The 23,948-nt window shown below is 43.3% G+C and overlaps 1 long non-coding RNA gene across 1 annotated transcript in view, besides 1 other annotated feature; it reads left to right on the forward strand.

The window, feature by feature from the left end:
- Window positions 1-23,948, forward strand: part of LOC101929268 (uncharacterized) — a 146,944-nt gene that overhangs the window by 92,257 nt on the left and 30,739 nt on the right. The window lies entirely within an intron of this gene.
- Window positions 2,036-2,536: an enhancer, noted in NCBI's record as "H3K4me1 hESC enhancer chr8:49558419-49558919 (GRCh37/hg19 assembly coordinates)". NCBI's record gives its function as "activates a minimal SCP1, AML or CMV promoter by ChIP-STARR-seq in primed H9 embryonic stem cells {active_cell/tissue: H9 hESC(primed)}" and the evidence as "EXISTENCE:reporter gene assay evidence [ECO:0000049][PMID:30033119]".

Consider the following 23,948-nt stretch of genomic DNA (forward strand, 5'->3'; position numbering starts at 1 on the left):
TGCTCCTCATTTGGAGATAAGAAAGTGAGGCCTGAAAACACTCCCTTGTGCTGAGGTCATGCAGTGGGTGGATGGCAGAGTGAGGCTGGATCCCAGGTCCCCCGACTGTAGGACCAGTGTGCTTGCCTCGGAAAGGTTTTTGTAGGAGCATTTCCTGTTGGGCAGAGAAACAGAGAAATAGAGGAAATACACACGAGGGAGCTAAGATTTTGACAAAGAATAAAATGCATTTTTCAGAGTAACCATAAGTGAAAGGCCATTATTTCCTCTTGACAGTAGTGAGGCAAACTTTGGTGCATCTTCTCATGCTGGAACTGGGAAATGCATCATTTCATTGGGAATGGTGTGCAGACGTGCACTGACTGCAGGTTGCACAGCTGGACTTGCCAGATGTGGAGTTATGTGGATTTTTGTATGCAAGACATGACTGGGGGCTAGGCATGATGGCTCACGCCTATCATCCCAACACTTTGGGAGGCTGAGGTGGGTGGATCACCTGAGGTCAGGAGTTCTAGACCAGCCTGGCCAACATGGTGAAACCTCATCTCTACTAAAAGTACAAAAATTAGCCAGGAGTGGTGGTACATGCCTGTAGTCCCAGCTACTTGGGAGTCTGAGGCAGGGAGAATGGCTTGAACAGGGGAGGCAGAGGTTGCAGTGAGCTGAGATCGCACCATTATACTCCAACCTGGGTGACAGAGCAAGACTCCATCCAAAAAAAAAAAAAAAAAAAAAAAAAAGACATGACTGGGTATCTCACTTCTGTGTACCCCATGGTAAAAATGACTCCATCCAAAAAAAAAAAAAAAAAAAAAACATGACTGGGTATCTTACTTCTGTGTACTCCATGGTAAAAATGAATTCTTTTTTTAGACTCTTCATTGTGCTTGTTGAATAGACTTATTGGGAGAGAAATTAAATGTGCTCAGGCTCTAAGTTCATTTGAACTACATGATGAAAGTCTAGAGCTCAAGTGAGAATAAAATTATAGGATTTTAAAATTCCTAAGACAGAGCAGTGGAGCAAATGGGAACCCTCCTGGAAGCTGCGCTCCTGGAAGACAGAAACCAACTTTGGTAAGAATGAAAATCAACAGCCCTACCTGATGTCCACGAACAATGGACTTTAGAGTTAAGATGAGCAACTTTAGCATCAGACATTTGATGAACAAACCTTGATTTTGGTGAGGCCCATTTGATGAAGTCCCAGAGAGAGGAGGTTTCAGGTGTGGGGTGAAGGATGGTTGCTGTTTTAAACTCTATTCTTTCTGGTTTTCCTTCTTTTCAAATAAGAATATTTTTGCATCCTTCCTTGATTTCTAGTTATAATAACAATGTTTGCAAAGAGACAATTTTTATTTTATAGCATGCTTTCACATATATTATTTATTTAATCCTTACAATAGTCCTGTAATGTAGGTATTATTAATCTTATTTTACAGATTAAAAGACAGACCCAAAGAAAAGGGCAGAACGTGGTGGTTAAGAGTCCATGATACAGAATCTTGGGCCTGTATTCCCGCTCTTTACTCTCTGGGTTGGGCAGGTGTCATCTTTCAAAACCTGTTTCCTCATCTGCAAGGTGGGCATCACCAGATTAATGTCATCAAAGGCAGCTGAGAGAAGTGAAGAATGCGTGAATGCATGCCAAGTAGTGAGCACAGCTCCTGGACGCAGCGCGCATGAGCTAGGGCTGCTGCCCTCACCACCGCCCTCTACCAGAGCCTTATCATGTGAAACCGTAAGTGGCAAAGCTGGCACCAGTTTCTCCCATGCAACTCTGTACTCATTCCAACAAGGCGCATTTCCACAGTCACCTCCTAGATCTGCGGGCCTGGAGGATGGGGTTTTCGTCTCCTTTCCTTCCTCTGTCTCCTGCTCCTCCCAGTCCCAGTGGGCCTGGGATGCCTTGCTGTGCTTTGGATACCACTGCCATGAGGAACGTGTGCAGCCTACCCAGAGGGTTTGGAGCCTGGAAGGCAGGTTTTCTGATGAATGTTGTCCATTGTCAGTCTGTAAGGACAGTGGCCTCGTCCTTTGTTTTTCAGGCATGTGCTGGGCTGGGCGAGGGCGAGAATGGGCCTCCCTCACTCCCTGACCTTCCCACAGGGGGTCTACTCCAGACACCACTTGCCTGGGCAGGATATATGGGGGCTCCATCTGCCCACCCAGCAGGTGTTGCTCACTGCCACCCTCCCCTGTAAGTGTTCCCTGGACAATACCTGCAGTATCTTCACCTCTGAGGCTGGGCCCCAGTGTGGAGGAGGGACAGGGTACGGAGACCACCTGACCTCCTTTATGCAGAGATGATTTACAAACTCGTGTGGGATGGAGGGCCCAGTGCTTATTTCTTTATAGCTGAGAACAGCTGACAGGTTCACATTAGGGGGATCATGATCACATTTCCTTCAAGTCTTACTGTTTGAAAAGGGGTTAATTCCAGTTAATATCAAAAGAGGAGGCTGGCAGAAACAGAGAGGGGAAGAACATGCATGCCATCCCCCACCCCCCACCTCTCTCTCCTTTCTCTTTTTTAAAGCATAAAAGCCAGGAAGTCAAGCAAAACCAAAAACAACCCAAAACTTATAAAACACAATCTTTAGAGTCCTTGTATTGATCACATACGTTTCTCTCGGGGTGTCATGCCAGCTTGTTTGGGAGCTTTGCAGAGTCTTGCATTTTCTACTCCTGATGTAGGGAGTCTAAGCAACAGCACCTCCCTGGGATTATGTAGCCCCATCTGTCTTTACCCTGCAGTCAGACCCATGAGTAGTTTCAGTTTGCACGAGCTGCTCGCAAGGAGTGGGCATTTGCTGTTTCTGACACAGAGAAGAGTTACAAGAAGTGGAGGGAGAGGGACGCTTGTTCCTGAGACGCAGCCCAGGCCCGCTCACTGCTAGGCAGCCCTGGCTGCAGCTAGGGCCAGGTCTTCTCTTATCATGCTTTACTCCAGACAAAGGGAAAGTCTTTAAAAACACAAGCTTTGTTTTCGTAGTCCCCGTGAAAAGCTCACAGATATGTCACGGAAACGGAAACAAAGCTTTTAAGAAAAGTTGCAGATTTTGAAAGTCAAATTTCCAATTTCCATGTAATTTTAAAATCCAAGTTACTTGCATATGTGGCAGTTTATTATAGCACTGGGAATTCAGGAAAGCTTATATTTAGGTGCTCAGATGTCATTTCAGATCTTTAAGTTGGTCTGCAGGATGAGATGCAGTAGAAGCAGAAACACACAGGTTATCCTTTTACTCCCACCCCATCCCTCACTCCCACTCCAGACCATGAGGAAGCAGGGCAGGCTCTTCTGAGCCCCAGGCTCGGATCCTCTGGGGCAGGGCTGTCTGTCACTTCATCTGTTCATTCCTTTCCTTCCTACGAGATCCCAGCTCAGTGAGGACAGCTTTCAACACCCAGCACTCAACATAGCGCCTGGCCCATGGCAGGTGTTCAGTAAATCCTCCTGGAAGGCAGAAAGGAAGGACATTCGGTGGCTGTGGCATGAGGTGTGGACGTCAGCCTGAAGAACATGAGAACTGCAGGCACAGAACGAGGCTCTCAGATTCCTGCAGCCTATGGGTGGGCTCAGTGAGGGGTGGTGTGAGGATGGAGCCAAGGAAGTGTGGAAGGACCTCCCTGGCAGGGGGAGGTTAGAGGAACCCACTGGAGGAAGGAGACAGCAGGCTGAAGCCTAGGGAGCTAGATCAGAAGACCTGCCGAGAATCGCTGCTTCCCTGTGAACCAAGTGTGCCTGGTCTGGGAAGCCTGCTTTTGGTTTTGAGATGTGAGATGCTTATGGGTAACGCTGAACATGGAGTTGAGAACTCAGGCAGCTTGGGGCCTGTGCAGCACCAATGAGTTGTGTCTGGTTTTGTGCAGATTACAGAACTCTAAGCTTCGGTTTCCACATTTCTAAAATGGGCATTGAAATCGAACCACCTCCAGGATTCAGTGAGGAAAATGCATGTGGAGTGTTTATTTGAGAACCTGGTCTACATTAAGTGTTCAGTTAGTGAGAATTGCCATCAAGGTCTTAACTGTTAATGGACTTTACTGCGTGGAGGAGAAGCTTTGGTGGTGAAGGAAAGGTTGAAGATTAGCAGGGAAAGGAGATGATGGATGGAGAGAGGCCTGCACGGGTGTGGGTGGGAGGGACAGGCTGGGTGCAGAGAGCAGAGAGGAGGGCAAGGTGTAGCTGCGTGTGGGGTTCCCTTTGCCTCCCCTCCAGTCTCGGCATTACTCTCCTTCTGCAGAGCCTTTGTGGCACGCGAGAAAGGCGAGATTCCATGCACATCCTGGGATCAGAGACCCTCGAGCACTCCCAGGACCACGTCTGGGTGTGAATGAAGTGTGCCTTCAAGTGCATATGTGCATGGGTGTGTGTACGAGTCAGAGGCTGAGGACAGGAGGAAAGTCTGCAAAGCCATTGGGCCTTTCACTTCTATGCCACATTCCTCTCCATTTCCCTCCCAAACTCTTGGAAGACCGTTCATGTTTGGCACAGGTAATGGGCCTCAGAGGGACTGTGACTCAGGAGAGCTGTGAATCAGGTGGTTTTTGGACCTCTCCTGAGCCACACCTGGCTCTGCACTGGGGGCACTCGGTGGCCTGTAGGCCCTGTTCCTGAACACAGGCATCGGCTGGGTGAGCCGCTTCTCCAGTTTTCTTTCCATCAGAGTTGGCACCTCTACCACATGTGTGATTCAGAAAGCAAGACCCGTTTCTCGGTAAGCAGCCTGACATGTGGCACACATATACAAAGAATTCATACACGGACGGGAGGAGGAGCCTTTGCTGCACACTTGGATCACTTTTCATATGATGCGAGCAAAAATCCTCACGCACTCATCTTTATATTTAGGAGGTGATTTCACATTTCCAGAATCCTTTTGCAGTAGTCCCAATTGCAATGATACATCCTTCTTCTATGTATTAATGAAAAGAGAGGGGTAGTTCTTAGGATACAAATAAAGGAGGAGAAACAAGGGAAGTGTGATCATGAGGAATAACCTCTCCCATCCCTGTCCCAGTGAGATGGTCCATATACTGTTGACTCTAAGTTCATTCACCTCCGTTTCCAACTTTCTTTCTTGCTAGGTTCAGATTGTCAATAGCCGATTTAAATTTCATCTCGGAAGTTCTAAAAAAAGAAGATTTGGGAGTGAATTACCCAGGGCATCTCAGGGTTTCCATGGCAAAAACGCATGTGGGGGGTACGATTCCGGTGCCAGGCCTGCTGACTCCTTCAGACTCCAGGATTCATTAAATATTTTAAAATAACAGAACAAAGAATGCTTATGGCAAAAGTCTGCTAAGCACTGATGTTTGTTAGGCCAGGAAGGGCTTTCCCAAGAATAACACAGAGCAGCCTCATGGCGGAGTAGAGAAATCCAGGCGAGGCTGTTCCTTCTGGCCTTGCGGTTAATCTTTTGTCCATGAGTCTGTGGGTAAAGGCTCCAGTGGCTTTGCTTTCTGAAGAACAGACACAGTGTACTAGGACTTGTGTTTTACTGCTGTGTTTTTTTACAGGGAACAAGGACACCGTGTAGACTTGTGAAGCCTGTAAAATACCAAATTGCATTTGGCAGCATGCAATCCTGAAGATGGGAGTATAACCTTTCTTTATCCCAGGGGGAATTTCCACAACTTGTGATGATTTATATAGCTGGGGTCTTCTGTGCTTAATGTAAAGGATTTTGCCCACTCTGAAGCTCCTCTGTAGCCTGAGGTGCGGCCTGTAAGGGGAGAGCCGGAGGCCAGCTGTGGGCTCAGTTCCCTGAGGCCCCCGAGCAGGTGGTTTGAATTCTACTGACAGGTGTTATCTACTTCCTGTGTCAAGGACAGCAAGCTTGCTCTCTGTTGCACAGATACTGGAAACAAAATATTTCTTTTTAAGGAAAACTTTTCAAAGCCAAGCAGATTTATTTCTACCACAATCTGGAGGCTAATTCCCTGTGTGATGTTTGTTACAGCCTTAATTACACAATATCAAAAGTGCTAGCTCTGCACCTCACAATGTGCCTGTGGAATCACTTGATTTGTTTTGGCCCAACTCTTCTCGCTTGCTCAATAATATGAATCTTGGCAAAGAAAAGGGAGCCAGAGTCCAAGTTCATATGACTTGGAGTTTGCAACCCAAGGATATGTGAGGTCTCTGTGTATGTGCATGTGTGTGCATGTGTACATATGCATGTGCGTGCCCGCTCACTTACCACCTTTCAAACAGCTCTGGAAGTTGGGTTACAAAAATATTTAATTTGTATATATTGGGGAAGAAAAAGAAAGGAACAAGATGGTGAAGCAGTGACCAGGTGTCTACACTGGCTGCAAAGGGTGCTTGCCGAGGGCTGTAGCTCGAGCAACCCCAAGCCCAGGCAGAAACCAGCACCAGCCTGACAAGTAGCACCCAGGGGCAGGGTGGGGAGAGCAGGGCCCACACCCTCTGGCATCCTTCTGCACTCTTGTCATGGGCATTTTGGCGCTCTTGTCACCTGCAGAACTCTGTGGTATGTTTGACACCAATAGGGGCATGATGGCCACTGGTTCTAGAGAGGTTTCAGGAGCATTTGCAATAAGGGCCAGGGGATATCAGATGACAGGCAGCTCCAGACCAATGCTGTGGATGGCACCTACTCCTTGGGTGGAACGTCAGGGGTCTTCATCCAGAACCGACCTTCTTCAAGGTCATGACACAGCAAGACTCAGCCGGGAGGGTGAGCAATGACAGTATCTGATAGGGAGTATACATGCGTGAGAATTGAGGGTTTTTTTAGTTGATTCAAGTTATTAAAAAATTTTTTATTAGCTGGACTAAAGTTTGCACATTCCAAAATGTGTTGGAAGGAACAAAATAACTTCCGGAGAATTGAGGTTTGGTGCCAAACACTTACAAGGGGAAAATGCACAGGGGTTTTTGGAAGACAATTCTGAAAGTGATTCTTTAGCAACTAGTTTATAAACTGCTTTTGACCAGAGAGAAGTAAGTATAAAGAAATCTCAATAAATTCATTATTTTGAAATAATTTATGGTTTTTATATCTATTTCTAAAATGTACTCAAAGACAGGAAACAATCTTCTCCAGCAAGATGAGAGGATGAGAAAGGTTTACAGAGCACTCAAGGATAAAGAGACCTACTGAAATCAAAGCACAAAGTGAGTCATAAAATAACTAAAGTTTGTATTCTACTTTAAAGTTTAAAAATTCTTTAACATGCAAAGAGGATGTTTGGGCACAGGAATAAAAATTAAATGTTGAATAAACTTCTCTTCCTTTCTGCACAAATTTTGGTGCTCCTAATTTCTTTGATTGTGAAAGTAACACTATTGAAAATTTAGGAAAAGAAGCATTAAAAAATGAATTCAAAATCACTGCTCCCATGACATAAAGATAATAGACCATGATGCACATTTTGGAATGTTTACTTCTGGTTAAGGAAGTGTCTAACTACAAAAGGGGAATCATGTTGTTCTGTACCCACTTTTTAAATTTACATCATGGTACAAGCATTTCCTCATGCCGTTAGATAATTTTTACAATCATGAGAGGAGACAGGGTAACCGTTCAAATCTCTGGTTCCATGATGATTTCATCATGCAGCCTGAGCTCTCACTCCCCCGGCTGCCAGCTTCCGGGTCCTCTATCAAATGGCAACTGAATAATAGGACCTTCCTCCAACTGTTGTTACATCATTGCTATTCCATGAACTCTGTTAGTGGGTATAAAGGCTTGCTGATACCATGCACCTGCACCTGTGAGCTACTGTTCCGGATGGTGAATGGCTGCATAGTGCTCCGTCTCATCAAATCATCTGCATCCTGATTCTGAAGACCACCTTTCTGTTGTTCACAATGGCTCACCCAAATAAAGAACACTGTCTTGAATATTCCCACACATAATGCCTGGGGTCCTCTCTGCTTTCTTCATTGAACCCCCACCCCTCCAGAGCAGGTTCTTGGAGTGGATTGCTGCATGGCTGTCTAGAACTGCGCTAGGACTACCTTAACAGCTTGCCATTTTCGTAAACAAATACTTTTCCACTTTTCCAGGAAGAGTTTCCCCTTTCATAATATTTATCTCACCACGCTGTGATGGGAAGTGTGTGCCTGTATTTTCATGGATATGAAGGTCTGTGTGGAAAACAGAGGGTGTGTTTGTTTTAGGCGGTCTCGCACCTCCAAGCCCAAGATCCGCAGGAGCACTCAATAGTTTGTTCAATGAACAAGTTGAATCCTCAAGTCATTTTAAGTGAAATGGCTTTAGATGTGCCAGAAAAGTGTTCATTTCCAGGATGTTTGGAAAAGAATTTGTTCAGAAATCACCCTAATTATGATGACCTCCTTTCTACCGGGACGCCCACGGCTGCTCCAACACCACTTTTTCCTCTCGGCCATCCCCTTGGCCCTTTCTCTCATCCCCCAGACCCCAGGTTTCATTTCCAGCTGGTTCTTTCTATTCTGCTAGAGCACCAAAGCCTACCTTGTCCACCACAACAGCCAAAATAAGATACAACTCCAGTGCTTCTGTCACACTGGTCCCATTCTGGGTGCTCAGTGGGCACCACCAGGGATGGCGCAGAGAGAGGGCGTTTCCCAGGGAGCAGGGGGTCAGCTGGATGGTGCTGGGCTGTGGGCCATTGGGAGGCCCTCCCATATCACTGCATCACCTCCTCAGGGAAGGCTGCCTGGGCACAGTCCCATCATAGCCCTGTATACTTCTTTATGAAATGTATGACAGTTTAGATTCATCGTTCACTTGATCAATTTTTTTTTTTTTTTTTTGGAGACAGAGTCTCTGTTGCCCAGGCTGGAGTGCAGTGGGACAAACACAGCTCACTGCAGCCTCAATCTTCTAGGCTCAAGCGATCTTCCCACCTCAGCCTCCTGAGTAGCTGGGACTACAGGCTCATGTCACCACACCCCACTAATTTTTTTTTAATTATTTTTTTGTAGTGATGGGGGTCTTGCTATGATGCCAGGCTTGTCTCAAACTCCTGGACTCAAGCCATCCTTCTGCCTTGGCCTCCCAAAGCCCTAATATTACAGACATGAGCCACTGTACCCAGCCCTGACCATCTTTTTACATGTGATTCCTCTGGCATTGAAACTCCCCAAATACAAGGATTATAATTGCTTTATTCATGGCTGTATTTCTGCATCTAATCTCATATCTGGTATATGGCAAGTTCTCAGTGCTTAGGGAAAAAACGGAGGGAGGGAGGAGGGAGGGAGGCCATGTGGAGGCAGGCCGCTGCCTGGAGTGGAGGCATTGTCTTGAGTTGGTTCAGGAAATGTGACATTGCCTCATGGTTCTGCAGTTGTGGCCGCTGATGTGGGCAGAGGATGACTGGCAGTTGATCAGAGAGGAAGGAGCAGATCCCCAGCTTGCTTTCTCTTCCAGCTCCCCAAGGAGCTGAAACCTGAACTGGAGGAGGAAACTGGAGAGGTTTGGGTTGGATGGGAATCTATGTTCTCTTGACAATGTGGTTTGAACACTTCAGTCTTAGGAGGTGTCATGAATAAACACATGTACATGCTACTATGTATTTTTTTTTTTAGACTCTAAAACTCCTCAGCTTGGGTTGGAGATGTTTTCTAAATATGTGTAGTAACTTAAGCTCTTGGTAGTGTGGTTGAGAAAAGAATGGATGGTAAAATCCTATCCTAGATTTGTTATTGTCTAACACTGAGACCTATTCTAAATTGTTAGCCTCTGTGGGTTTCAGATTATCAAATGGAAAGTAAAATGAAAACCTGGATGTGATGCACTCTGGAAAAGTGTGTGTGTGTCTGTATATATATAATTTTTTTTACAAAAACACAATGTGTTATATACATGCATGGAATGCAAGAAATACATATATTCTCTATATATGACAGTACAGAAACACTTGCAATATATTCTATGAAAATATGGCCTTACAGAAACACTCATAGTCTTTTCTATGCGCATATGGCATTAGAGAAGCACTCAGACTTCTATGATGAATCTCTCACTCATAAACTACTGAGTGTTCCTTTAGTGTATTTAGAATCCAGTCACATTTCCCTTGCACCCTTCCTGGAAGTGCCTGGAACTCATGAAGACATCATTGCATCATTTGGTGATTTCCTTGCCCTTCACTCATGTCCAGAGGGTGCCTCATCTGAGGTTGCTTTGCTCTGGACTTGCTAATTCTAAGTCAGACACCAGATTGTCCAAGCACTGCCCTCTGCCTCTCCAGTGAGTCAGGAGAAGGGAGCTGGTGGGTAGGAGACCACAGAGGACTGGTTGGGCGGCTCTGGGTGCCTCCAGAGTGAGGGGCAGCAGGATGGCCCTCGGGCTTGCATAGGAAAGAGGGCACTGCTGCCTCTTGAGTGTGCAAGGCCCAGGGTGCGTCTCACATTCACACTCCACCTCGCGCCCTGGGCCGTTGAGACCATCTGGAATGTCTCACATCTCCCGGAATTTCTGCTAACCAAAACAATTTTGCTGGTCAGCCAGCTTCACAGACAGGCCACTGCATAGTCAGGCCCATCACTAATATATTAAATATAGCACCCAGTTTCCCAGACACAGGCGGTTCCTTCCTTCTTCCTCTCTTCCATTAACTTTGCAGCATTCCCATGATGACTTAGGGTAGAGTTTTGTTGCTTATTTCAAACCAGTTTTAAGGCATGCATTTCTTCACCCTCCACCCTTGGGGTTTTTCCCTTTAATAAATGTTTATGAGAATGCACTGTCAACTCCAGGAACCTCAGAGAAGGGGGCCCAGGCTGCCAGGAGGTCGTGTGCTGTGTCAGGGGAAAGAGCACACTGGTTAGCACTGTCCTTCTGCTGTCTTGCACCCATGCTGCCATTCCAGGACCCTCAAAGGGAGTGCCTGTCCTGCAGAACTCTCATTTCTTTACTAAAATATCTATAATTTTCCTTTAGATAATATTTGAAGCTTAGAGGAAGGTTGATGTCAGCTCCTATTTTTTTCCGAACTAATATTAACCTAGCCTTAATTAAGGAACTTGAAAAGAACAACTGCACATGGCCCGGCATTCACCTGGTCATTATTCAAAGGGCAAGGCTAGTGTGGAAATGACGCTGAGGCCATGAACTAAGCTAAACATGCCAGGAGATGCGTGCTCCACACCGACTCTGACTCTCCTGCACAACCTGAAAGACACTGGAAAGAAACGTGGACGGGAACGTTCACCTGAACTGTCCAGGCTTGGCTTTATGGTCGGTCATAATTTAAAATGTATTTTATATCTATTAACTTATTGTCTATAAATTTGTTTATTCACAAAACATTTATTCGGTGCCTGCTCTGTCTCAGGTGTTGTAATAAACTGTGGCAATGAAAAGAAATTCAGAATTCCTCCCATATCAGTAGGGAGACAGGCTGACTCTAGTAGTAGCAATTAGTAGCAGAGTGAAGGAGGGATTTGAAAGTGTGTGTACACAAATGAGCAACCTGAAAGACTTGGGCCGGACCATCAGACACAGAATCGGTTGTAAGCACGTGTCCTTTGTCATCAAGAACTGGCACAAGCTTTTCTAAAATGGTGGAGAAATAACCAAAAAATTCCATAGAATCTATTAAGAACCCATTCTATTCCGTCAGTATGTTCTCCAACATTTACTTATTTTATTTTATTTATTTATTTATTTTGAGACAGAGTCTCACTCTGTTGCCTAGGCTGGCGTGCAGTGGAGCAACCTCAGCTCACTGCAACCTTCACTTCCCGGGTTCAAGTGATTCTCCTGCCCCAGCTTCCCTGGTAGCTGGAATTACAGGCCAATTTTTGTATTTTAGTAGAGACAGGGTTTCACCATGTTAGCCAGGCTGGTCTTGAACTCCTGATCTCAGGTGATCCACCTGCCTCGGCCTCCCAAAGTGCTGGGATTACAGGCGTGAGCCACTGTGCCCAGCCCCGGCATTTATTTATTTTTAAAAAATTTTCCCAAAGGAGAGAGAATATAGGATATTGGGCATCCTCTATATGAAACCCTGTGATGAAGCATTTTATGAAGTCAGGAATTAATTGTCATTCCAAACCTTTGCCCCCATTTGTATGTTTATTATTTTAAAATCAGATTTTCATAAGCATGAGCATGCTATATATCTAGATCTACATCTATCCATATCTATAGCTGTTGCAAGAATATAAGTTACTATTCATTTAGTTAGGCAAAAGATTCTGTGAATAAGGCTAAGACAATAAAAGTAGAAGATTGTAAGTGATAGAGTTCCTAGTGGCTTTGCAACTAGACCTGTTTGGCTTGAATCCAACTTATGCTTTTTAGCTTGTTTCCTCAACTGTAAACAAACAAACAAACAAAAAAACCAAGTTATTAACTACTTTCTAGGTTTGTTGTGAAAATTAAAAGTAAGTTTATTCACAGAAAGCATTTAGCAATGTACCTGGCATTTAGTAAATGCTTACTACATACATGGTACCTTATTTTACTGTAGCAGGTTTTAAATGAGGTAATGTAAGCAGAGCATCTAAACGAGAGATCTGTCAGTGGATCAGCAGAGAATAGGAGCCTTTGCTTTCACCCAATTACATGTGATTGCAATGTGGGGTTTTATTTCTCCATATTTTTTCCTGAATTAGGCAATCTTCCTCATTATCTTGTGCTTGATGACACCATTCTCGAGGAAACACTAGTTTTTGAATCTCTTAGATAGATAAGTAGAAAATAACTTCCAGATTGACTTAACTCCAATTCTCTCCAGCATGGGTACTTTTTCTGGCTGATGGTCCCCAGTAGAGACAGTGGGGGATCCACCTTCCACGTTCTGCTCAGGTGAGGCAAGGAAGCCACACAGCTGGGCTTTCCTGTCCTCAGGAAAAAGAGGGGTCACATGCCGCTCACCACCGTGTCACCTCCACAGTGGCTGGGGTGGAACTGAGCTGCTGGTGCTGACTCTGAGGATATCCTAGACAGAATGCTTTATTCTGACGTAGTGCCAACTGTTTCACAGGACCTCAGACTCCTTCTAGACCAGATCTAGAGCTTCGCCATACAATAGGATGGTCACTAGCTGCAGATGGCAATTTACAGACAAATTAATTCATATCAAATAATACTGACAATTGAGTTCCTCAGTCACATTGGCCACGTCTCAAGTGCTCAGTAGCTGATGTGATGAGTGGCTCCCTATTGGAGAGCACTGAAGTGGAGCTTTCGGTCGTCACAGAGCATTCATGGGGCAACCTCAGTCTCTGGATGCTTACTCCATTGTTAGTTTGGGACAGTTTGTGCTTAAGATCAACAAATTCAAGATGCCCCACATCAAGTTCAACTTCTGTTTATGCCACACAGCACATCGAATCACCTTTCTTTCTTTAAAAGCTGACAATTTCACTTTGGGTCAGATTGTATTTTTGAATTCCCTTTTCCATCTTCTTCACTGAGCATCTGTGAAATAACCCAAGTGGCAAAGGCATTTCAAAACTTGGAGCAAAATGGAGATAAAAGGAATCTGTCTGAAAGAGTCACAGAAATCCAGAGCTAAAGCCCTCGGAACAGTCACAAAGTCTGCAGGAGGCAGCTGAGACAGCCTGGAGTAAACTCTCACCAAAGACAGGAGCCTTCCATGTACACTGCGATCGGCACCAGCAAAGGAAGTCTTGGGTGAACGTGATGAATATGCAAGTCTAGAAGAATGCCATGCCTTCAGCCAGAACAGAGGAAAATCCTTTCATCAGCTAAGAGACACCTCAGAACAGACTTCAGCAGAGCTTCCTACACTCTGCATTGGAATTCTCTCTAGCTTTATTTTCTTAGATATGTAAAAGACAGTGCCCATATTCAGGAAATACAGTATTACATAATTAATCAAGATCCTTCATCTTGTTAAAGAAAAACAGAAATCTTTGCAGTTCACCTGAGAAATGAAAAAAATGAGGAAAGAAAAAAATCCTTGGTAAAAGAAAATGGAAATATCTTAAATCTAGGATTCAATGAATATTATTTAGTTGTACATTATTTTATTCTCTGTATCCCTTGAGTTCTTAATAAATATGATTTTGAGATGTAAGCTCTTTTTTTCCTTTTGTCAATAAACTTATCTTAGGGGTGACTTATAATTTCTTCAAAATAGTTGTACATGGAGGTATTTTAGTTTTTGGAATTGCAGAGTCATGTGGAAAACTGAACCATTTTCCTATAATTGCAAGCAACTTATATTTTGAGACACATCAGGTAATACATATGTTATATATAATACATACAACATATATAATGTGTGTGTGTATATGTATGTGTATATATATGTGTGTGTGTGTATATATATATATCTACAGCAGACTTGGAGAAAAAGAACATTAAAAGCAGACCAGGTGAATGAGTTTGAAATGGCACACGGAACTAGAAGAGAGAAAAGGTTGCAATTACTGCTCAAACAAGTTCATACATATATATATACACACATAAACATGTATATAAAACATATATACATACATATATATATATGTATATATATATATTCCCTGATATTCCAGTAAGCATTCGATAAATATGTGTTGAGTAGATGAACTGTTGGGCCCTAGTGGAATGTAACTAGAATGAGAAGTAAGCTCAGAAATTTCATGTACAGTCCCTATCCCATGGGGTCTTGGTACATAGGAAAACCTGATAGAATTGGCTGACCTGTAAATCAGTGATGCTCAAATTCAGGTATAGTTAGAATTGTAAAGGCACACAGCCCAGCTCCAACATCAATCAAGCAGAATCTCTGGGCAACTGCCTCTCTGTGACAGTTTTCCAAATGACTCTGCTGCTCCATGAAATTTTAGGACTTATTGCTATTGTTGAATCAGGCGACTAATTTCAGGGATCTAAAAAGGCCTTATGATCCATCATCTTTTCCTTCATCTGCCCACAATCCCCCAGCATTGGCCAACATGGCAAACTCCCATCTGAGTACCTTGGAACTTAATCAGTGTGGGGCAGAGAACCTGGAACGGATAGGCTGTCCGGGAACAGTGACAGGACGGCTGAGGTGAGAGAAAGGAGACAGGCCAGCTGTTTCCTGACGCCCTTGCTCAGTACAAGCACTGAACCTGAGATCTCGGTAGGTTTGTATGGATCTGCAGAGATCGCCCTAGGTTGGGTTGCTATGGGAGCAGGTCTTTAACTGGAGGAGTTCTGAGAACGTTTTACCCTCTCTGGATCCATGAGGAAATTCTGGAGGGCAGACACGTTCTGTCTCTAGCTTAGCTCTCACTCGTTAAGGTGGGTCTGCCACCGCTGAGGTGCCCCCTTGGGTGGTCTGTGAGACTCCTGCAGCAGCTCTGCACGACTTCTGGGGTCCACAGTCCAGGACAGATGTGAAGTTTTGGCATCAACATATTCTTGGGAGGCTGCGTCGTCCTATCACAGTTAAGAAAGAATTATTTCGTGAGTTTTACCTAGCAGTTTACATAAATCAGTTTACAGCAGATTTGGAGAAAAAGAACATTAAAAGCAGACCAGGTGAACGAGTTTGAAACGGCACACGGAATTGGAAGGGAGAAAAGGTTGTGATCACTGCTCAAACAAGTTCTTCCTTCCCTCCAAGAAATGAGGCGTGGGCTGTGGAACCCATTGCGGCTAATCGTAAACAGGTGCATCTTAAACATAGGATGCCAACCTGCTCCAACATGCTGGGCACCGGGCTTAGCTGCAGCTAATTACGCGTGCGCTCTGACCGGGCGGCCCACAGCGGCTCTGCAGGCTCAGCGGGGCGAGCGCAGGAGGCGCGGGCCCGACACGCGTGTTTAGACCTGCGAGGCTGTCGGGGGTGCGCCTGGGACTGAGCTGGGCTCGTCTTCATTTCCCTCAACTCCCAAAGCCCTGCTTGACACCCAGAGATGCTTCATCAGGATATGAAAGTATTCCACTTCTCCTAGAGAGCTATGGGAAATGTTATTAGCGATTTTTTAGGTCTCAGAATTCTGACACAAGCCAACCGTAAGGGTAACATTTTTGTCAGATGGCCCTCGGGTTACCTCCGGGGATGATTTTTGCAGGATGACGGATTTGAACGAGCGTGTTGCCTCTTGTTCTAGTCTTCAGCCTGCGTTCTCGCCTGCTGTATTTTCTGACAACTTATTCCCCTTTTGTAGGATCTGTAAGTCTGCCTGGGCGAAATTCCCGCAACTTATACTCAATTCTCAGAAACGGTAAATTTCCTAACCCTGTGAACTGACTGCTAAAGGAGGGTAAGAAATGTTTTCCCAAGCTGATCCAGAGATGAGGACCCTGAAGCTGAGGAAGTACAGCATCCGGGTCCTTCTGCTGAAAGTGAGGCTCTCCCAAGGCTCCTAACTTAACTTTGTGTGTATAACACTATATTTTCATTTTCGAAAAATGTGCAGTCTCTAAAACTGTACAAGCTGAGGGTCCTTCAGAATCTGTGTCTGCCACTGTGTTGATCATTAGGGTACAACCTCTTCTCAACAGAGTCAAGACTTCAGTGTGAGAGTCTCACTGACAGTAAAACAGACACTTGAAAAGAGTGGCAATACATAAATAATATGCTCAGCATGATCTTTAAAAGATAATCATTAGTTTAATATACTTTTTTATTTTAGAAGAGTTTAAATTTATAGAAAAGTTGCCAAGAGAGCACGGATGATGCCTGCATCCCCTGCACCCAGCTTCTCCTATTGGTCACATCTGTCACAATGGATAATCCAACACCTACATATTACTCACTGAAAATTGATACTTGGTTTAGATCTCCTTAGTTTCACGTCTCTTTTCTATCCTGGCATCCCATCTGGAACCCCACGTTGCATTCACTTGCCTTGTCTTTGAGGCTGCTCTTCACTGATGGTTTCTCAGACTTCCCTTGTTAGATGACATTGGCAGTTTTGAGGACTGTTTTTCTCATGATTAGACTGGTGTTATGGATCTTGGGGGCAGAGAGCTTGGAGGTAAAGTACCATTCTCATCACATCATATCAAGGGCACATATTCTCAACATGACATCACTTCTGATGTTAACCTTGATCACCTGGCTGAGGAAGTGTTTGCCAGGTTTCTCCATTGCAAAGTTACTTCCCCCAGCTTTTCCATGCTGTACTCTTTGGAGGGAAGTCCCTCTGTGCAGCCACACTTAACACGTGGGGAGTTATGCCCACCTGTGTAAGGAGTCGGTATCTACATAAATTACTTAGAATTCTTTTGTATTAGAGATCTGTCTATCGTTTTCCATGTATTTATATAGTCAATCCTTGATTTGTATCATTAGGGAATCATGGATATTTGCTTTACATTTGGGGGTATTTATTTTGTTGCTCAAATTGCTCTGACGTTTGGGAGCTCTTTCTGTTAGTGCTGGTATCCCCCTGTCATAGTCCATCACTGTGGGTTTTTTGTTGTTGTTTTTTGTACTTCCTGACCTTCTGGCAACACAAGGTGTTCCTGGCTTATACTGTGTATTTCTTACCTCACACCTAGAATCAGCCATCTCCCCAAAGAACTCTGGTTTCTTTTATTGGAGAACAGCATTTAAAACCAAGGTCTGGTTGCTAGGTGTGCACGGTGCTAGTGGGATGTCATTGCTTCTAAACTCTCTCAGTTACAGAGTAAGGAAATATGGGCGTATATGCTAACATATTTAAACACCTATGTATAAATATTTCTATATGAAACAACCTGCATCTATATTAAGCTAAATATGAGTTCATATTGATGTCTCCAACTCTCACCATTACCATGTAGAACATACTGCCTTCCCCTTTGCTTGTCTATAGCCTCTTGACCCTGCAGTTTGGAACCTACTCCTACCATCTGCCATCCATTTACTTAATTGTCCAGTGTACATGAACAGCAACATTAGAATTGTTAACCCTTGCTCACATGGGAGGCAGCCTTAACAGCTAGAGTATAGTCTATAGACAGTTTCTTCTACCTTTAGTCTTATAGTCCCCATTCATTTCTAAAGTAACTTAGGTGACCACCACTTTTTCCTCCAACCGTTTCACTGATGAACCTCAATGAAATTGCTTTGTAGATGTATCAAGTAGTTAGATTCTACATTTCATCCTGGGAGCCCCAGATCTCCTAAAAATGTTTTTAAAGAATTGCGGCCGGGTGCAGTGGCTTATGCCTGTAATCCCAGCACTTTGGGAGGCCGAGGCGGGTGGATCACGAAGTCAAGAGATAGAGACCATCCTGGCCAACATGGTGAAACCCAGTCTCTACTAAAAATACAAAAAATTAGCTGGGCATGGTGGCAGGTGCCTGTGATCCCAGCTACTTGGGAGGTTGAGGCAGGAGAGTTGCTTGAACTTGAACTTGGGATGCAGAGGTTGCAGTGAGCCAAGATTGTGCCATTGCACACTCCAGCCTGGGCAAAGAGTGAAACTCTGTCTCAAAAAAAGAAAAAAAAAAGAATTGCATACATGAATGTTCACTCTGTGCTCTAAACTTCCATGATTTTGAAAAATGAGTAGGGCCATTGAGCCAACACTTACAGTATCACACAGAATACTCTTTCCACCTAAAAATATTCCTGTACTTTACCTTCCAACACCCACCCCAATCCTCTGCAAACCACCTGAAACCACTAATTTGTTTTTCCAATCTATACGGTTGCCTTTTCCACAATGTCAGGTTTATTAGTCTGTTTTCATGCTGCTGATAAAGACATATAGCAGATTGTATAATTTTTACAGAAAAAGAGGTTTAATGGACCCACAGTTCCACGTAACTGGAGAGGCCTCACAATTGTGGCGGAGGGCAAAAGGCACATCTTACATGGCAACAGACACGAGAGAAAAATGAGAGCATAGTGAAAGAGTTTTCCCCTTATAAAACCATCAGATCTCGTGAGACTTATTCACTATCATGAGAATAGTATGGGGAAAATTGCTTACATGATTCAATTATCTCCCAGTGGGTCCCTCCCACAACGTGTGTGGGAATTACGGGAGCTACAATTCAGGATGAGATTTAGGTGGGAACACAGCCAAACTATATCATCCGGTAAATGGAATCATGAAGCATTTTCAGACTGGCTTTTTTCAGTCAGTAATGTGCACTTAAGTTTCACTAGTGTTGTTTGTTGTGGGGATTGATATTCACTTCTTTTCATCAATGAATACTATTCCATTGGGTGTTTGTACTACAATTTATCCATTCACCTGCTAAAGAACATCTTAGTTGCTTCCAATTTTTGACAATTATGGATAAAGCTTCTAAAACATGTGTGCACACATTCTTGGAGGGTGAACAGAAGCATAATTGCTAGATTGGGTAATAAGACTGTTTAATTTACAAGAAACTGCCAAACTGTCTTTTATAGTGGCTGTATCATTTGCATTCCCACCAGTAATTAATTGAAGTTTTTTTTGGTCCACATCCTCACCAAAAATTGGTATTGTTAGTCTTTTTTGTGTTTAGAACATTTTATTATGTGTGTGGTGATTGTTGCTTTAATTTGCATTTCCCAAGTGAAAGATGATGTTGAATAGCTTTTCGATATTTATTTGTCATCTGAATATCTTCTTTGGTGAAATGTTCAGTTCTTTTGCCCATTTTAAAACTGGGGTTTTCATTTACTTATTGATGAGTTTTAAGAGTTCTTTGTATACTTTGGATACAAGTCCTTTATCAAATATGTATTTTGAAAATATTTTCTCCGAGTCTGTGGCTTTACTTGTTATTCTCTTAACAGTGCTTTTCACAAGGGAAAGGCTTTAAATGCTGATGAGGTCCAGCTTATTAGTTTTTTTTCTTTTATGAATCACCTTGCAGCTCTATTAGTTTTTGTTTCATATAATGTGAAACTCTGTTACTAAGTCCACAAATAATTAGGACTATAATGTTCTCTTGATGAAGTGAATACCTTAAAAACTTCATTTTATCATTTCTTGTAGTGTAAATCCGCTGGCGATGAATTATTTCAGCTTTTGTAAGTCTTAAAACACCTTTATTTCACCTTCATCTTTGAAAGTTTTTATTTTTTTTCCTTTTCTGGGTGTAGGATTCTATATTAGCAGTTTTTTGTTTCAGTATTTTAAAGATGTCATTCCACTGTCTTCTTGCTTGTATTGCTTCTAGCGAGAAGCCTGCTATCATACTTATCTTTGCTCCTTTATAAAATGTTTCTCTTTTTCTCTGGCTGCTTTAAAGAATTTTCTCTTTATCAGTGATTTTGAGCAATTTGATGATAATATGTCTTGCTCTAGTTTCTTCATTTTTTGCCTTGAGTTTTGTTGTGCTTCTTGAATCTGCATGTAAATTTATAGTTTTCATTAAATCTGGATTTTTTTCCAGATATTTCTTCAAATACTTTTTCTATTCTATCACCTTCTCTTAGAACTCCACTTACTTACAGGTGAACCTTTTGAAGTTGTCCCACAGCTCAGTGATGCTCTGTTAACTATTTTAAAACTCTTTTCCCTCAGTTTTGTTTTGAATAGTTTCTATTCCCGTTTTCAAGTTCATTAATATTTTCTTCAACAATGTCTGTCCTGCCATTAATCCTATTGAGTACATTTTTATCTCAGACATTGTAGTTTTCATGTCTAGAAATTTAATTTGGGTCTTTTAAAATATCTTCCATATCTCCACTTAACTTTTTGAGCATACGGAATATGGTTATTGTAACTGTTTTAGTGTCCTTGTTAGCTAATTTTAACATATATGTCAGTTGTTGGTTTTGATTTATTGATTTTGCTCATCATTTTAGATTTTTCCTGCTTCTTTGTGTGACTGACAATTTTTAATTAGATGCCAGACATTGTGAATTTTATCTTGTTGGAGACTGGATATTTTAAACTCCTATAATATTCTGAGCTTTGTTCTTCAATGCAGTTGAATTACTTGGAAACAGTTTGATTCCTTTGGGTATTGCTTTTAAGTTTTAGGTGGGGCCAGATAGTGCTCAATTTAGGGATAATTGTTTCCTACTATGGAATTAATACCATTTTGAGTACTTGGTCCAATTCCTGGTGAGTTGTGGTTTTTTCCATTCTGGCTGGTGGGGACAGACACTATTCCCAGCCCATGTGGGAGTAGGGTACTCTTACCTCTGTTCCTTTCAGAGGGCATTTTGCCCAGCCATGCTGCACTGATCAGTCCTCAATTAAACACATGAGCGAGACCGTCTGTGTATTTCTTTAGTTCCCTCTCCTCTCCAGCTCTGCCAATGCTAGCCTTCTTGGTCTACGCAAAATCTCAGCTTCCTCTTCTCAACTCAGGTGTCTGCCGGCTCTCTGCCTGGGTTTCCCCTTTACATGTTGTGGCCAGAACTCTCTCAAGGCAGTCAGCTGGGCAGTATCAGCGCTCCCCTGGTTTGTTCCCTGTCCCTCAGGGGCTAACGTTCTTTGTTGTCTGATGTGTCTTAGAATTTTTCTTTCACATGTTTTGTGTGGATTTTTGCTGTTTCAGCCACGAGGGTAAATCGGCCTGTTATTCCCTCTTGGTTGGAAGCAGAAGTCCTGGGCAATGTTCTATTTGCCTTACCTGCATTGTTTTACTTAATCCTTATGACAATTTTATAAGATAAGAATTATTGTTATACTCAGTTTTTAGCAGAGAAAACTGATGTCCAGATAGGCTAAATAGTTTTCCCTTGGACCCACAGCTAATAAGGAGGGGATTCAGTATTTGCTCCCTGTGACATACAGTTCTGGAGCTTGCAAGATTGGTGACCATTTTAGAGATGGCTTAGATTAACTTCCATAAGAACATTTTATAATTGCTTTCATCATTGTTTAAAAAATGGCCTAATGCTGTTATCAAAATTTGGGAAAATAAATAATCTTGGTTTCTGAAATTTCCACTGCTATGATAAAAATGATATTTCATTGATGTAATTGATAATGCTTTAAAGAAAGGGCTTTAGAACACTCAGGTAGTTGGCACTTTCTAACAGGGACTTACACAAAATTTGACTTTTTAAATTTTTAAGTTCTAAACAGAGACTTCAGTCAGAGTATTATATTTAGATGAATGTGGAAAGAAATTATCTGGTAACCAGGTTAAAAAACAATCTCTTATATCATGGGTTTAGAGGCCCACATTCAGAGGGGATAAAAACAAAAAAGCACTTTCTTTTCCGTGCTAGACAGAGTGATTTTAAGTGAAATCTGAACAAGGAGAGGAGTGACCCCTAGGAAGAATGCTTGCAGCAGAGAGAAGAGCCTGTGCAGAGGTCTGGAGCTTGGAGTGGCCAGGGAGGCTGGACCCCAGACCATCAGAAGGGTTCTGGGATGTGACACTGAAGGTGCTGGGTGGCCACACGGGGCTCTAGGGGGATGGTCAGGGCAAGGCCTTTATTCTAATAGCAATGCCAGGCCATGGAAGTCGAAGGGCATTTCATAATCTATGGCCTTTCACGTTTAATGAAATATGCTATATTGAGTCATATAAGAAGTGCCTGCTGCTGTAGTGACATCTCCTCATTTAATCCCAAGTATGATCCTAAAGGAGGTAATGGTGTCTCCATTTGGACATGTGGAGTCAGCCTAAGAGGCTGAGGGATCTGAAGCTGATGGACTTTAAGTGTGGATTTACATCCATCCACTTCCTTCCTGTTATTTCATGCTGCATCCTATAACACCATCTTTATCTGACTCTAAGATTTTGGAAACTAAAACTCCCATGTACAGAGGTTGAGTTTCCTCTTGTGATTTTAAAATATTGAGTTTTGAATCCCTAGCATCTAGACTGTGGTATCTAAATATCATTGCCGACTGGGTGCGGCGGCTCATGCCTGTAATAGCAGCACTTTGGGAGGCCAAGGCAGGCAGATCACTTGAGGTCAGGAGTTTGAGACCAGCCTGGTCAACATGGTGAAACTCTGTCTGTACTAAAAATACAAAAATTAGCCAGGCATGGTGGTGTATGCCTGTAGTCCCAGCTACTTAGGAGACTGAGGCAGGAGAATGGCTTGAACCCAGGAGGTGGAGGTTGCAGTGAGTCGAGATCATGCCATTGCACTCCAGCCTGGGCGACAGAGCCTGGTAAATAAATCTCATTGCCAGTGCCCCTTTGAGGATGGCTAATTCCAGGTCTGGGGCAGGAAATGTGCAAGATAAGACCAGAACATCTTGCCATTCAATAAATCAAGAATACTTGCAAAGCCTCCTGGGGTTTTGTCAAAAGGACTGAGGAGCCAACCTGAAGGGGTTGAAGATAGGATAATTTGTGGATCATTAAGGATAGTAGCTTTAATAGTTTCAGACCATCAGATATTGCTCAGGAATCCTTCCCTGCTACCCTGGTCTGAGGTAGAAAGTCCCATCTGTTTGCTTAGTAAATGGAAGTTCTTCCATAGTATTTCTTTCCATCTGCACTTCCAAATTAGCCCAAAGAACCCCTAATATAAGGGATATATGTGTCTTACCTACCAGTGGATCCTACATAGCCACTTGAGGCTGAAATGAAAGTCCTTAACCCCTCTGGCAGATTAGCAGGCCCTCCTTTGGCTAAAAGACCCCCAAATTGTAAGTTCCTGGCTGTATTAGTTCATTTTCACACTGCTATAAAGAACTACCTGAGACTGGGCAATTCAGGAAGAAAAGAGGTTTAATTGACTCACAGTTCCACAGACTGTACAGGAAGCATGACTGGGAGGCCTCAGAAAACTTACAATCATGGCAGAAGGGTGATGGGGAAGCAAGCACATCTTCACAGGGTGGCAGGAGAGAGAGAGCAAAGGGGGAGGTGCCACACACTTTAAACTATCAGCTCTTGTGAGAACTCACTTACTACCAGGAGGACAGCAAGGAGAAAATCCGCCCCGATGATCCATTCATCTCCCACCAGGTCTCTCCCTCAACATGGGGAATTACAATTCCATATGACATTTGGGTGGGGACACAGAGCCAAACCATATCACTGGCCATGGTGGGATGGGAGTCTGGTCACATCCCATTTGCTTCCAGCCCCCTTCCCCTTACTAATCACAACTAGATTTTCTCAAAAGCCAGCTTGAGGGAATGAAAGGCTCAAAGACCCCTTGGCTTAG

Source organism: Homo sapiens, chromosome 8 (assembly GCF_000001405.40).
Source record: "Homo sapiens chromosome 8, GRCh38.p14 Primary Assembly".
NCBI classification, from domain to species: Eukaryota; Metazoa; Chordata; class Mammalia; order Primates; family Hominidae; genus Homo; species Homo sapiens.